At 35.7% G+C, this 16,524-nt stretch overlaps 1 protein-coding gene across 11 annotated transcripts in view; it reads right to left on the bottom strand.

Moving 5' to 3' along the window:
• Positions 278-16,524, bottom strand: part of TRPC4 (transient receptor potential cation channel subfamily C member 4) — a 237,710-nt gene continuing 221,463 nt past the window's right edge. For 8 of the 11 annotated variants that reach the window (NM_001135958.3, NM_001354806.2, NM_001372055.1 and 5 more), the window contains 3 exons: positions 7,473-7,514; positions 7,255-7,344; positions 278-5,840 (listed from right to left, as the gene is read on the bottom strand). In NM_001135958.3, coding sequence (NP_001129430.1) covers positions 5,118-5,840; positions 7,255-7,344; positions 7,473-7,514 — 855 coding nt within the window. In that variant the 3' untranslated portion in view covers positions 278-5,117. The remainder of the gene's footprint in view (positions 5,841-7,254; positions 7,345-7,472; positions 7,515-16,524) is intronic. The other 3 variants (NM_001135956.3, NM_001135955.3, NM_001135957.3) reach the window with 2 other exon arrangements.

A 16,524-nucleotide genomic window follows, 5' to 3' on the forward strand; every position in this document is an offset into this window, starting at 1 on the left:
CACTAGGTAAAATAACTAGTCAAGGAATTTATTTAAATAGATTCAAATGGCTCCACTATATTTAATTATTTTAGAAAAGGTTTCCGTGATACACTGTTAGATAAAAACATTTGCTAAGTTATAGGTATAGTGTGATGAAATTCTTGATAAAAATGATAACAAAACCATAACCTATATAGCTGCATGTATATTTATATATTAATACATTTGCAAAGGCAAAGGAAAAACAGGGAAAAACAGCAAATTATTACCAGTGAGTCCATTAGGAGATTAGGAATCAAGGAGAGACTGCAAACTTTAATAGAGCTACACAAAACTTTTTTGAGTAATTAAAGATAGAATTTTCTACCTTTGCAATTCAGATGATGGAGATACATGAGCTGACTGAAACAAATACAAATGTTCCTGAGCAGCACTGTCCAATAGAAATGTATTGCAAGGCACAAATGCAAGCCACATACGTATTTTTCAGTTTTCTAGTAGCCACATTGTAAAAGGAAAAAGAAACATCAAACTCATTTACTTAGTATATTTTAAATCAATACTTCATAAATACTATCAGTTCAATATGTAGCCAACATAAAATATTTATGAGCTAGTTTACATTATTTTCATACTGTCCTAGAAATCTGGTGTGTGTTTCACACTTACAGCACATCTTAATTCAGACTTGTCACACTTACAAGTGATTAATAGCCGTATGAGTATAGGAGCTACGTTACTGAACAGTGCAGCTCTAGAGGAAATTAACGGTTTTGCTACTGGTGAATTTGACTTGCAGAGACGTCTTCACTGTCAGCCTAGTAACGGTGTGACTGTATCCAGGCTTGGTCCCATTGTCCCAATCTTAGTTCAACTGTACATTGTCCATCTCTAATGTTTTTCAGTTGAGAAGCTTTGATATAATTTAATACATTTTATTATTACCAGTATGCATACAGGTTATCATAAAATCTACACTTCCAGTGAAAATGAACAGTGTATTTTCTGAAAACAGTAAGAAACCAGCTTTTTAAAAATTCTCTTAACACAACTTTGTAGAAAAACAAAAGATAATATGGTATTAATTCTGAATTTTAACTTGAATGTTTGGACAACTATATTTTCTACAAGGGCAAAGAAGACAAAATGTTCCCCAAATAAAAAGTCAGTGGTCAAGGCATTTATAATGTGATGCCTCATCCAAATATCTAGATGAGGAGGTTTTTGTTTAAGCCCCAACTTGACCACCAAACACATGGGTAAATTTAGATAATTTCCATAAATTCCCTGGGCTTTACTTTCCCCAGTTATCTACAGTGAACTTATTTAACATGATTCTAAAATTCAAATTAAAAAAGGCATGTGATAACACTGTATAAATAAAATGTCTTTTCAGACATTGTAAAATCAGAATAATGGTTTTGAAGTTAAGAGGAATGCCAGTAATATTAAATTTCTAAATTCTATGGTTAGTTTTAAGTCAGAATTTCAGATAATACAGAGAAAGAAAAATATATTGTAAGCATATTTACAGGGCCACAATGGATGGTTCTTACTAGGTTGAGTTTTAAGGACACTGAGCATGGAAGGCAGCTGTATACACCATAGAAGACAGCTAAAAATACAATGCATGAGGACTAAGAATGGACAGATTTCAAAACTTGGTGGCCTCTCTTCAATAAAGAGCTGTGAGACTGGATAGTCATTTACTCAGCTAAATCCCAGAGTTATTAAGGATTATTGAATGTTAGAAGAATATATTCTTATGCTATTGTTACTTATGTTTCCTCCACCTTTGCTAGAAAATTGACTTTGCTTCTTTGAGAACAGCATGGTGAGTCTACTATCCTTGACTTTTCATCAATTTGTTTCATCACTAAAGTATTTCAAGTTGCTGTCTACGTCAAGGCAAGAAAGTGAGTATGTTTTTGCATTAGTTTAATTGCCATCCAGTAAATAGAGTAACTAATTTAAGAAAATTTGATATACAAATATTCAATTCATGAAACAGATACATTTTGAGGATGTTTAGCACTTTGAAAAATTACTCATGATTTTATAAAATAATTCACCCCATTTTAAAAAATATAGCCAATTTCCTTACTGAAGTTAATATAGATTTATTTGCACAGAAATTTTAAGGAAAACCTTTATTACGAATAATGAGGTACATCTTTATAGCATACTTTCTTATAAATGGGACTTCCAAAATACAATTGTGATAAACAAAGTGTTTTAAACTTACCTGCTAGTCTATTAAACTGAATTTTCAACACACTCCTTCACCTAACTCAGACACAAAATTTAAGAAAAACAGATTTTTTAAGATTAAGAGAGTACGAAAAATGAGAAACATTATTTATGTAAATGAAGGTAATTTCAAAGTTCTCTGTAGCATTTAGAAATTTCTGTGGATAGAAATATGAATAGAAACGAACACCCTGAAGTACGCACTTACAAACCTCAAAGAAACAGTATTTCTTTGCTTGCTATCCTGCTGTTGTTTGACTTTTCTTATTTTATCCCTACTCCTCATCTTCATTAATGCTACATAATGTCACTACGTATTTAGAATAGCATTCAATTCTAGTGATATTAGTAACATCGGGTACTAATAATATCCAGCACTTTGTTCATACTCATAAACACATCTGTCAGCAACATCTGGGGGTTGTTAGAATCATCCTTTCTAGGGCACTGAAAAGGAGGGTCTTACTTGCTCCAAATACATTCCTCTATTACCATCATGTCCCCCTATAAAATGTCAGCACCTTAACCCCTGATATAAATAAGCTACTGGGGGAAAAAAGGTTTTGTTGCTTGTACTGTTATTGGTGTTGCTTGACGGAACAGAGAGAATTTGAAATTAAATTCTGGTAAAGTATGTAAAATGGTTATGTATAGTGTCCTTACTTTGGGAAAAAACAAAATAAAACAACAACGCACAAGAGAGGCAAAAAGAAATTAATAGAAAATATCCCAAATATTAACAATAGGCCTACAATTTCTCTACTACTGTAGGTATGATTTAGAAAAAAATGAGTATTTCAGTAGCCCCAGGATTTGCTCTGAGTCCTAATATACTTGAGATAAAGGTGTTCTTGAAACAGTAAATGCATTCATTTAGGCTTGTGTTTCTCCAAATCTATCTGGCCCATTCCTAAATTCCCAAAAACCAGGTTTAGGAGTGAACAGGGGCTTAGTGCTCCTGGCTTTTCTGAAAATTAAAATCTAGTATTTCAAATTGAGTTCTGAGATCACATAATAAATATGTTTTTAAAATCTACTAACTTTAATGTAATTTAGTCTAAAGAATCAAATACAGCACATTTTATATTTTGCACACTTCTCTTGCTTTAGAAGAAGGGACTCTTATGAAGCATACCAAACTCATTCTCTCTCAAGGTATAGGACTTCAGAAGTGGCAATTGTAACCCCTGTATATGCATGTTTTATAACTTGCTCTTTTTATGTTCTGAAAGGCAGTTACAATGCAGTGGTGAAGGGAATGGCTCTGATGGACACATCACAGCTCCATCATGAGCTGTATTACCTTAGCCAGTTAGTGCTGGTCTCAGTTTCATCATATGTGAAATGGGGATAAAAACAGGAGCTACTTCAGAGGGCTGTAAAGAGCAGTACATAAATGTTAACAGGTGTATAGGAATAGAACAGAGGCTGGCATTGTTATTGCTGTTATTCCTTATTTTTGATGTTTGGTAATGAGAAACTGAGTGCCATAACATTATTCAGTTTGGGGCCAATGATAAATCACATGCAATTTCTGAGGTTCGCAGAGTAATTTTTGAAATAAAATGAACTTAGCATTTTTCTATTGATTTGAAATAAATGCTAATTTTATGTGGTGAAGAAACTTCCCGTAGTGGCTTAAATAGACACAAGCAATGTAAAATTTAAGCTTTAAGTTTCTAGTATCAATTTTATGTAAGTTGCGAACACTTTCCTTGTAATAGTTCAGTGAATTGTTATAAGCTAAATTACCTTGCAAACAATAGAAAGAAAAACAAGAAATAAGAATGTTTTTCCTATAGGCAAAACTATATATCTATATCTGCTGATAAAATTAATAATGATTTTTGAGTGATTTAATTTTAAAGAAATATATAAAGATTACTGGTGAAAAGAGGAGACTGCTAGTTTTTTTGTACTTCTTTTGAATTGATTACAATATTGCGTTGATTGAAAATACTGGAATTCAACTTTACTTAGATTTAGATTGTTAGAATAAATTCATTTTCATTTGGATATTATTAGTATGTAATCATCTTGCTTGTTTAAGATACTTACAATATTATGGTTTATTATTTTTTTATAACAGAAATCTTGCCATATTTTTGAAATTCAGTTATTCATAAAGACTCATATTTATACTGATAAGCAGTTGAATCTGAAATAGGTAATTAAAAAAACTGGAGGGGCGAGTTTTTTTCCTGACAAAATGTCGTTAAAAATCATCAGTCATCAAAATGTATTAAGACAAACACTTCTTTTACTTACTGAAAGGAAACCCTGGAACAACCTAAAACACTACAAAGTTTTTCTGAATTTGAGGGAGTTTAGATATGACTCCATGAGAAGAAGACTTGTTTGCTTTGTGTACAATAATTATTTACATGTCGTTAAGAAATAATTTGGTAATATTTGTGTTTTAAAGCCAAACTGTAGGACTAGGTGAAAAGTCCTTGGTGAGTAACCCTCTCTAAAGACCCTAAAAAATTATGAAAAGCTATAATATTTCAGCCACATTGGTTTTTGAATATAAAAATATCTATTTTAGGAGTCAACTACCACATGAAATAAATTGCATTTGTTTTAATTGAAAAAGATAGCTAAAATGTTTCTGTGGGTTATTGCAACAGTACAAGAATACAAGGTGCATTTATTTATTAACAAAAACAATTGTAAGACAAATTGTGAAAGCAAAAGCAGGCTACAAAACAAAAAGGTTTTTGATTGCCTTTGCCTTATTTAAACATGTTACAGGTAATATGCCACAGCTGATAAACGCTATAAAGTGTAAGTTAGCATTTGCTAATACAATTTAAACATTTTCCCCCACCCAGAGCACTACGGAAAATACGTATGTGTATGGTAAACGCTTCCTCCTTCAAGTATCACAATCTTGTGGTCACGTAATCTTCGTGGGTGACTGTGTCTGGGAGGTTTAGATCATAGTCTATACTAGAGTCCTCTTCTTTTGCATGTTTCTCCTTTGGTATTATAGGAACCGTGTCCTCCACCACCACCTTCTCTGACTTGAATGGACACACTCTCTTTCCTACCTGTAACCCCAGTGTGTCCGTATTCCTTTCTCTATGGTCTACTAACACACATTGTTCACTGAGACCGGGAATGCTCAGGTCACCCCGTGAAGCTAATCCTCGAGATTCCAGTTGAATATTTCTCTCAAGTGGTCCTGCAGCCTGTTGACGAGCAACTTCTTCTGAAACAGAGAAGATTTGGTTTGCATTTTGCTCAGCAGCATTTTGTTTTGATCGTCTATGAAATAACCCAAAGTTTTTGATATCGGTCACAAAATTCACTTTTCTCTGCTTCTCCCTGGGCGGCTCCTGAACCACCAGGGCAGAGCCATTGCTTATGTTATGTCTTTCAGAGGCAATTGCTGCTGATCTCGGATGAATCAGGGTGGTTAAATCAAAAAGGCTGAAATTCTTTTTCTTGTCCTTGCTATTACCTTCGCTATCACTCTTTTCATCTGAGTCTGCCGAATTTGAAGACTCCTTCGAGGCATTCGCAGATTGTATTGTGGAAAGTTTGCTTCCTCTTAGTAATCCCAGGACTTCAAAGCGGAAACTAGAAATGTCTTGCTTTAGTTCCTACGTAGAATTTAAAATGAAAAATTCGGTTATGACTTAAACATTTGGAAACATCATTTTCTCGTCTCATATATGGGTCAGAAATGTTTTCACTCCTTTTTAAAAACAAGGATTCTACTCTACTGTGGTTCTATTTAGAATTCCCAGTTCTCTCACGGATACTTGATGTCATTTTGATGTCGACTAATTTCCTTATTGGAATTGGGAAGGACACTTCCTAAGGCTGATGCAAAAAGAAACGTGAGTTATCTTTGCCACCAACGTGCAGCTGAGTATATTGGGTTTCCCTGGGACTACAGTTTCTCTCCAAATTATTCATCTGCTGCCAAGTTACCTCACTGTCTCTGGGGTGTATTTTATAAGATTTTTAATATTGGCCCATTTTTCTGTCCAAAGGGATGTCTGAAAATTAAGTGGAGACTAATTTAAGAGTTGGTAGTTACTTGCAGTTGTTTACTGTCTTAAAGAGGACCTTCCCCCTACATCTGGGTCAGCCTCTACATCCTGGGAATTTCTTCGGATCTAACAGCATTTCTTAGACTCATCCTTTTCCCTTGTCTTTTGGGACAACTGAATTCTCACTCTTACCCTGATGGCAACCTTCTTGGTGGCTTCCTGCCCCAACCTATCTCCTAAAGCAACATGAATCATTTAATATTACAATTTGAACTTTATGGCTGTGAAGAAAATCTGGGCTTCTAGCTAGTTTTCCACCTGCACTTTAAGTTTTGTAATTTCTCTATCTTCTTACCTAATTCACTACTTCATTCTCATGTTCAAACCTGCTATTTTCTATGTTAAATATCTCCTATAGATTTTTTTAAATTTGTTTGTTTGTTTTGGCCTGTAAGATCTTATTGACCTTAATCATTCTTCCAAAATCTCTAAACAATCACTCAATAATTTTAAACTAAATTATTTTAAACATGTGATTCAAGCATATAATATTTCACACATTTTACTTATTTCCTCTTACACAATTTAAAAACTATCAAGGAGAAAGTTTATAAGTGTATTAGTTACAATTAAATGCAAACCTTAAATTCACTGCTATCAAAGTTTTTCAGAACACACAAAGTTTTTGTTGTCAGTGTGTTAGTTAGTAAATGTTTCGGATTTAAAAATCAGGCTGAAATTTCAGAAACAGAAGCTCACTCTGGGATCAGGTAAGTCAGAATGCCATTAAGCACTAGGCTTTTCTCTGTATGTTTGAAAACAATTTATTTTGAGAAGAAATTTCACCACTTGCTTTTCTTTTCTTTTTACAGTTCTGTAGGGTTTCAGCTGAAAAATCAGAAGCCACACAGGCTTGCTGGAACACACAGCTGCATTTCCAGCTCTGATTTTAAATGTGCTCTATCTGGATCCATATTCTGCACAATCTGCCTCTTGTGATGAAGATGAAAATGGTTACCTTAAAGTTCTCTTCGGTCAGGCCTTCTTCAGTTTTAGCATCTCTAATCATTGCAGCAACGTATCGCTTCACCAGGTTCCTCATAACTTCCTGAGGCATTTTAGAACAAGAGTATTGATACTCAATGAGTAAATAAATTTCCTCCTGAGTCAGTTCTGAAGGGGGGACTGCATTTTATTTTAGTGAAAATTTCAAGACATAGTACAAGGACAACTTACTTGGTATTGGTGATGTCTTCTCAAGTTATCAGCAGCTCGCCTCTGAAAAGGAAAAGGACATTCCTTTCTGGTTATACTGTTATATTACTATTCTAAAAAATAATTTATTTTTTTAATCGATAATGTTTTTATTCTTATTTCTTCAAAGTGGGAGTTTTACTAGTCAATGGACAATGGCTAAAGAGTGCTGCACATGAATCAAAAGAATGAGTGAACAAGAGTGTATAATCTATATGACATTTGAAACACAGAATAAGTTAACAATGACAGAACTGTTGTTCTCATACAGGACACAGGATGAAGGAAAATTAGTTAATTACAGTTAATATGCACTCAACATTGACGGAATGATGCTAAGAGAAAGAGATAGGACATATCAAATAAAAATTTAAAAGTTTTCATAAATATTAACATGGCAAGATTAAGAAGTTAGTTATGTTATGTACCAGGTAATCAGAAGCCTCATTAGTCACTGAACTCTCCAATCATATATATATATATATAATATCAATCATATATACAGTAAGAGGAGATTCCTGTTTAAATAGATGGCTGGATTTAACGGAATAAATAAATAAAGGATTCTGTTGAAACACAGCATTTATTAACTCATTTAAAAAATTAAATGTGAGTCCCAGCTCATATTTTGAAGGCATCAGAATGGTTTGAGAGCAGAGGTGGGGTAAGCACAGGGCAGTGATTTGGGATTGTAGAATAGAGAGATGGATTGTTTAATGATTGAAAAAATCCCATTATGAGTTGAGTGAAATAATAAATGACATTAAAGTTATATATTTGCAGATTCTCAAGTATTCTAAAGATATTAGAAAAAAACCCTACATAATCCCAATTTTATGTATGTTGAATAAACATCAGCACTGATTCTTCAGGAAGAATATTGGGCAAAATAATATAAAATAAAAATATCTCTATAATAAAAGAATTAATTTGGTAAATTGTGAGAAAGCAAAAGGGATGATATACCTTGGTTTTAAAATGAGGCTTTTGCTCTTGTTCCTTAATAAATAATCATAGGCTGATAAAACAGAATATTGAAAAGAGCTGTGCCTACATCACTGTGAAATGATAATTTAAATATTAAACAATTTAAAAGAAACTCTTTTCTTCTCTTCAGAGAAATAGAAGAAAATGCTATTTTCACTGGCCATAAGGATGCATCTGTCTTTCATGATTAGTAGTGACTTGTAGAAACAGATGAGACAATGCTTAGGTTCCTAAAGGTCACTAATTATTTTGACTATCATTCACTTTTGCATGAGAAATACATTTTGAGAAAAACATTTAAAATAGGATTAAGTTATTAATTTAAAAACTCAGAAATTTGAAACAACACAAATGTAGAGAGCAGCTTGAAAAAGTATGGCATGGGAATTTTACGGCTGGGCCACCAGATGGAGGTGTCTGACTCATATTGAGACATAGCTCAGCTGAAACCTAAGACAAACTGCACTTCTAAAAGGAAACACACAGTCTTCTAGATCTCCTTAAATTTACTTAAACTAAAATACTAAAGTGAGTCGTACATCAATTTCTTTAACATTCTCACCATAAATATTATAACAGAGATCTGATTTTCATTATTTAAGTAGCTAGAAACTCTTAATTTAATATAGAAAGAATTTAGTCTACTTAATTTTTATTGTTTTGGGATTCTATAACATTTCACTACTGTGTTTTAGAATCCTATCCTTCTAAAATCCAATGAGGAAATTTTCAACAGAGAGCAATTAGAAGTCAGGATTTAACTTTAAATTTCTTTAACATCAAACTACAATTGAGGATGACAGAATCAGAAAATTATGAGTAATAAGTGAAAATTATCATGATACATTTTAGTATTAAAATGAGTACAAACTGTCTTTCCTTCAGTAGAATCTTACTCATCCAACGTCAAAAAATTTTAATACAAATATAAAAAGGTCAAAGACTACATTTTAAATGGTAATTCTAGGTTAATTTTCTTGGGAAAAAACTTAAAAAATCAAAATGGATTGTCAAAAAGAGAGAGGAACACTAAAAATGTTCACTATGGTACCTTTCAGGCGTTATTCAGTTTATATAGTCCAGGTTTAAGACTAAGTTAATGCGATTCATTGTTTTTGCCAACCAATTATATTCCACAATTATGTGGTAATACCACAAAACTATTTTTTAGTTTCACAAAATTTTATCAGGCAATGAACTTCAACATTCTAGCTAGAAAAAAAGAATGGATGAGGTTAACTGTCTTCTGAACCTAAAACTCAAAATGAATGCAGTGCGCTCACCAAATAATTAATGCTAAATTATGCGGCTGATAGAGCTCTCATCTGTTTAATCTCTGTTTCCCTGATTAGCATGACAGAATAGGCTGTTTAGTGATCACCATTATGCCCTTCCAGTTCCTACTTTCTAGGAGAAAGTGTGGTGTGATATTAAGAATATGGTCCCAGGGGTTACACCTGGGTTTGAAGCTGACTGTGCCTAGTCAGGGAGTTTAACTCTGACACCCTACCTCTTCCCTGATTTTTTATTTTGCAGGGTGAAGATAAACTCCATGGGTAATTCTGAAGATTAAATGAGCTAAGAGATTTATGGCATCTGTTGCTAACTAATGTTAGTTCTTGTCCTCTTTGCATTTTTTTCCTTTTTGATTGATAATGTGACTTAATAGCCTTTTAAAAATCTGATTCTCAAAGCTTGTGCATAGTAGGACACATATTATGATTACCTCTGAGAAAGTAAAATAATATACTTACATTTAACTGTGTCCCTTTGCATGATTTTGATGGTAATTCATGCTTGTGGAGCATTTCCTTCAGCTAAATCGTTAGATGCCTTCAGCTTTGGCAGTAGAGAGGTTTAGAGGTAGGAAACTTGCATGTAAGTGATAGAGTAAGAGAATACTTCTGGTAAATTTGGATAGATGTGACCCAGACTCTGTAGGCAGTCATCTTTGGAGGAGCCCAAAAGTTTTATGAACTTTTCGGCATGACATTGAATTTTTGCTATGACCCTAATGAGACAGCCATATGTGAGCGTTGATATAGAAACTCTGAGGAAAATTCAGAGGTCATAGCAAAAGAGAAGGCTGGCTAGGGGTTCCAGCCTAGTGGAGCTGTGGAATGTACCTCCTACAACATGTCGCTACTGAGAAGCCACTCTGATTTGGCATCTCATTTGGTCGAGTTACAGAGCAGAGTCTCCAGGCCTGGGGATGGGAGTTCCATCTTTGCCTTTGTCTCTGGCTGAGCTCAGGGATATTTCTCTTCAGGGACTCAGGATGATTTTCATGGGTTGAGGCAAGGAGAAGCCTACTTCTAGGGAATGCAAGATATTGGGAAAGCTGGTTGTCTACCTCAGATCTCAGTTTTTTCAGTGTAGGAACCTTGAGTTGGGAGAAATTATTTACACTCTTGGTGCCAGGCAGATTGAAGAGAAGGGCATCCTGGATATGGAAATATGATTCTTTCTTTTTCTTTTTTTTTTTTTTTTTTGAGATAGAATCTCACTCTGTCACCAGTGTGGAGTGCAATGATCTCGGCACACTGCAACCTCTGTCTCCCAGATTCAAGCCATTCCCCTGCCTCAGCCTCCTGAGTAGCTAGGATTACAGGTGCATGGCACCACGCCTGGCTAACTTTTGTATTTTTAATAGAGACGGGGGTTTCACCATGTTGGTCAGGCTGATCTCGAACTCCTGACCTTGAGATCTGCCTGCCTCAATCTCCCAAAGTGCTGAGATTACAGGTGTGAGCCACAGTGCCTGGCCAGAAATACGATTCTTTTACCATGTGCTAGGAGTTTTTCATTTCTCTGTGACCCCTAGATGGGCTTTGCCTCCTATCTGAGTCCTGGGATATTTCTGGTGATAATCCTGGCACTGTATATTTGGGTTTGGTTTTCCATGGCAGGGAGTAAAGCCAGCTTGTCTCAAGGCTCCATTTTGGAATTAGAACTCTCTTAACTTGTAGGGCTAATTTAAGGTATATTTATTAAATGACTACATGTGTATGGCAGTGGAGTGCAAGAAACCAGAGATGAATAAAGCACACTTTTGCCCTTAAATGGCTGATAGTCCAAAAGGTGGATTGCCAAGATCATGAAAGACTACACATGAAGGCAAATACAAAAGAAAACACGGGAAGTGCTGTAAGTGTGATATTTGAGTACAGGGGAGAAGGAGGTAATACTGTGTGAAGGAAAGAAGCCGTAACAGCCCTCTTATAGAGAATGCAGTATTAGATGGGTCATGAAGGAATCACAGGATTAGGACAAGGGGAGGTGCACAGGTGTTCTAGATGATTGGAGTAGGATGAGCAAATATGCTAGGGTTAGAAAGTGAGAGGCACATTATGGAGACTTCTGGCAGGATAGTTGCAAAGTCTTTGCTACTGGGAATATACAGATTAGATTGTAGTGGGAAATTAGCGTGGACTCTTAATGTAGAATTTCAGATGGCACATGAATCCAGTGGTTACTAGGCACCTGGGGATTTTGACTAGTTGAGTGACATGTGATGAAAGTGTAATTTCATTGATAGTCATTTAGCAGTAGCACCAAGTGGGAATGAGACTTCCTAGCTTCTGGTGGTGGCTGTTAATTCTTGGAGTTCTTTGGCTTGCAGGTGCCCATCTGCAATCTCATATGGTGTTTTTCTTGGGTCTCGGTCTTCACATGGCCATGTTCTTACAAGGACCCTATTCTAGTATAATCTCGCCTTAACTAAGTATGTCTGCAATGATCCTATTTCCAAATAAGGTCACAATCTATGTATAGGGGATTAGGACTTCAACCTATCTTTTTTGAAGGGGCATACAATTCAACTCATAATATATGTACTCTTTGCAATAAACATCACAATAATTTTTGGCAATTAGTGACACCATTGAATATTACACAATAGAACTACCATCAGTTATATTTAGGACATTCATATCCTTTTTTGTTGAGTAAAGATCAGCTGAACTTCAAAGGGATTTGTTACCTTAAGAGAAGATATCTTTTTCTTATAATTATCACTGGAAATGACCGAGAACAGGAGAAATGAACAATTTGTGATTCAAAGTAATATAATGAAAGCCATTTCATTTAAAAATACCTAAGTGGGTATTTAGCTTTAATACCTAAGAAAATGGGTATTTAATTTTCTTTCAAGCCATTTGCATGTTAAACTTTGACAGAGTAATCTGCATTAACTGTGTTTTTTAATTTTACTAAAAATAATAACTTAGGTAGAATTATAGCATGGTAGACCTGTGTTAGGAATAAAGGATTTCTCAGTGAATGAGCTCAAGTGTACAATATCACATAGAAATTTCTGGAACTTGTGGCCGGGCGCGGTGGTTCACGCCTGTAATTCCAGCACTCTGGGAGGCCGAAGAGGGTGGATCACGAGGTCAGGAGCTCAAGACCATCCTGGCTAACACGGTGAAACTCCGTCTCTACTAAAAATACACAAAAAAATTTGCCAGGTGTGGTGGCAAGCGCCTGTAGTCCCAGCTACTCAGGAGGCTAAGGTGGGAGAATGGCGTGAACCCGGGAGGTGGAGCCTGTGGTGAGTGCAGATCGCGCCACTGCACTCCAGCCTGGGCAACAGAGCGAGACTCCATCTCAAAAAAAAAAAAAAAAAAAAGAAAGAAATTTCTGGAACTTGCATTTTGCAGCTTTTTTTTTTGTTAAACTAGATTGGTTGTGAGTTGTGTTTAAGACAGAAAAAATGGATTTTGTGACAAATCAAGGGCTTTTCTTCCTTAACTGAGTGTCTAGGAAAAATATTTTGGAAGAAGTTCTCCTTAGGTTGGCACTTTTCTTCGCAAACTACATCAGAAGTCACTAGACTGTGTGTGGAATATTCCTTGGCAAAGTAGCTTTCAAGGAGAAGATGAGGGCATACCTGTTGCCACATTAGCATAATTCACAGTTTGCAGGTTCCTCCTAATTTGTTAGGGCAGGACAATGGCAGCGTTTGGATCAGAGAACTCATGTTAAAGAGAAAGACCATCTAGTGAGAAACTGCTGCTGCTGCAAGGAAACTCCGGAATTTCAATAGAAGTTTCAGGTTTCTTTAGAGCAGGGAAGATTTTGCAGCTAGAAAAGAGAGGTCTCTGGAGAGTGAGCTGTGACATTTTGTCACTCTTATCTCCGGTTCTCTCCAGGTCCACTATGTGGAATGTCACGCTCATTTCATGTAGCTAGTCCCTGCTGTCAATTTTCAATGCCGTTTTCTCTCATTTCCACTCTGGTTTTGGTCTAGCAGTGAATTTTAAGCCCATGAATTATGCCTTTTAGTCTTTGCTTTGCTCCTTGAATTCCTTAAGCCATGCAGCTTGCTGTGTTCTTCTCCTTTCACGAAAACTAAAAAGGCAAGAGGGCATTCCGGGATGTGATCCCTTTACAAAAAAATTGCAGTTTGGCTTCTTTGCAGATGGATCTACATATTGTTCTCTATAAACAGTCTTTCTGCACCCTTATAGCATACATCTGCTTACTGCTTTTCATGAACACATTTTCTAAGCATATCAAAATAATTCACGTGAAATGCCTGAATGTTGTATTGTCAAACCAAATATTCAGGAACTCACTCTTGAAATACCAAGAATATCAAGCAATTAATTTCTATATATCCCCGCTGGGGAAATAAAGTTTCATCAAAAGGCCCTGCCAACAAATCTTGCAGCAGTAATTTAGGAATCCGGAGACACTCACGGATGAAAACTGTCATATCTGTAAGATTTGTCATTAGGCCTACTAAGCGTCCTAAAGATTAGGGAGCGATACATTTTGACAAATCGCCACTATAAATGAAGTCTGAGAGGCATGTACTATGAGCATTTTTTCTTTAGTGATGATAGCTGTTGCTAATCTATTCACAGTTTCTAATTTCATTTGTAGTGACTTAACTGGGCATATTTCTGGGGCAGCTAGTCAGGCTTGAATATTCCACCTGTATCTCAGAGCTGTGTGATGCTCAGAGTGATCTTCCAGAGACCATCCTGCCTCCTGTTCTTCTCACCATGTGCTTGAGAGAAAACCAAAAAGCGGAAAACATAAAACTAAGGAAGTTAAAAACATTTTTTATGATTTTATCAAAAGAACTAGTATTTTTTTTTGGTTCGGTATGGTAACATATAAATGTAAACATTTCATTTAGAAACCTAGTCTGTGACATTAAATATGTCTCACATTAATGAAATGCTTTGGGGAAGTATTGTATTATAATAGCATCTTCGTACTTGAATTAAATGGATCGGGACCTTTTGAGCAACAGCATGAAGCCTGGCTTCGTTTTAGCTTAAAAAGCTCAGATCTACTATGTACTCACACGAATTAAAGATTAAAAAACTTCAAAAAAATTGTGGTAGATACCAATGCTGTCTTGAATAGAAATGTCTAGTTAAAGTTGTAAACTGGAAATGCTTGTTAAAATGGAGACTCCTGACAATTCTTGTATGCTAAAATATTTGAGAACAAATGCTGTAATGATAAGAAGGGTATTTGCTGATAAAATGAGGTTAAACAAAACATTTGACAGGAAGCAATGTCAAAAACACAAGTTAAGAGTATGTTTCTTATTTGGATAGGCTGCCTTTTTCGTGGGATTTTTATAATAGCCCAGAGAGGAAGCATCTCTCAATAATGGGTTTGCTTTCTATCACAAATGTTGTGCTCAATAATACAGCATTTCTGCTTCATTTATGCTTTCTCCCATAAAGCAGTCAAGTGAAAGATTAATTTACCTGGAACTCCCAATCAACCATTAAATGAAGTCCAGAGTTACAAAGAAATACGAATTAATGAGTTTTCAGAGCTAGTTGTATCAGTATTACTGGGAAGCCATAAATAGCACGATAAGATCATCAATAATGGGCTCCTAGAGAGTGGCCAATGTAGCAACCCTGAAGAGTACTGGTTTCCCAGGCATTTCCTGGGAACGTGAATGGAATGAGCAGCAGGGTGACATTTACTCAAAGGCTGGGTGACGAGTGTCAGTAAGTGAACTACAAATGGGAAGGTTACAGAAAAATACTTCAAAGAATGAAGTCACTTCCAGTGTAGCTTGAATTTTCTGCTTCAAAAATGCAGCATAAAGATAAGCAAGTTGAGGATAAGGGCAGAAGGTAAACCAGCCTGGTAAACAAGGGATTCGGGACACAGGAGTCTAAGAGGCAGCTGAAAACAATGATAGGATCTGCAAAGGCTGCTGAGAACAATCAAAAGACACAACAGGGAAGGTGTTGCTGCATGTTCACCAGACTTCTCAGGGAAATAAGAGAGGGTGATGGAAAGCAGTTTGAACTGGGAAACAATGGAAGACCCAGCAATTTCCCCCTGCTCTGTCTCTAAGAGAGCATGAGACAATGGGCAAAGTAAACAGGTTATCTTTTAAAAGAAATGGTTGAGCTAAATGATATCTAAGATCCCTTTGGGGTATAATGGTATATTCTAAGCCATGTGCTAGTTTCACAAAGTGAGTGTCACTGTTCCTTAAATGTCACCTTTTAATTAATAGTTGTTTGTGTATCTCATTGTCTTTGTATGTCCACATAATAAACTATCAGGAGGATTAACCAAGTTGAAATAAATTCACAGAAAAATTAATTACTTTTGATATTACTTTCTCAGTTAACCCCTCTTTTAATAATACAACCATCTTAATTTATATCTCATTTATCTTATACATTTATTTATTTATTTATTTATTGAGATGGAGTCTCGCTCTGTCACCAGGCTGGAGTGCAGTGGTGCGATCTCGGCTCACTGCAACCTCTGCCTCCCGGGTTCAAGCGATTCTTCTTCCTCAGCCTCCTGAGTAGCTGGGACTACAGGCACGTGCCACCACGCGCAGCTAATTTTTGTATTTTTGGTAGAGACAGGGTTTCACCGTGTTGGCCAGGATGGTCTCTATCTCTTGACCTTGTGATCCACCCACCTAGGCCTCCCAAAGTGCTGGGATTACAGGTGTGAGCCGCCGCACCCAGCGTTTCTTATACTTTTATAAGCAAGAACTTCCTTATAAATTATACCTATCATTTATTTTCATATAAACAAA

The sequence above is a fragment of the Homo sapiens genome, chromosome 13 (assembly GCF_000001405.40).
Source record: "Homo sapiens chromosome 13, GRCh38.p14 Primary Assembly".
Classification (NCBI taxonomy): domain Eukaryota; kingdom Metazoa; phylum Chordata; class Mammalia; order Primates; family Hominidae; genus Homo; species Homo sapiens.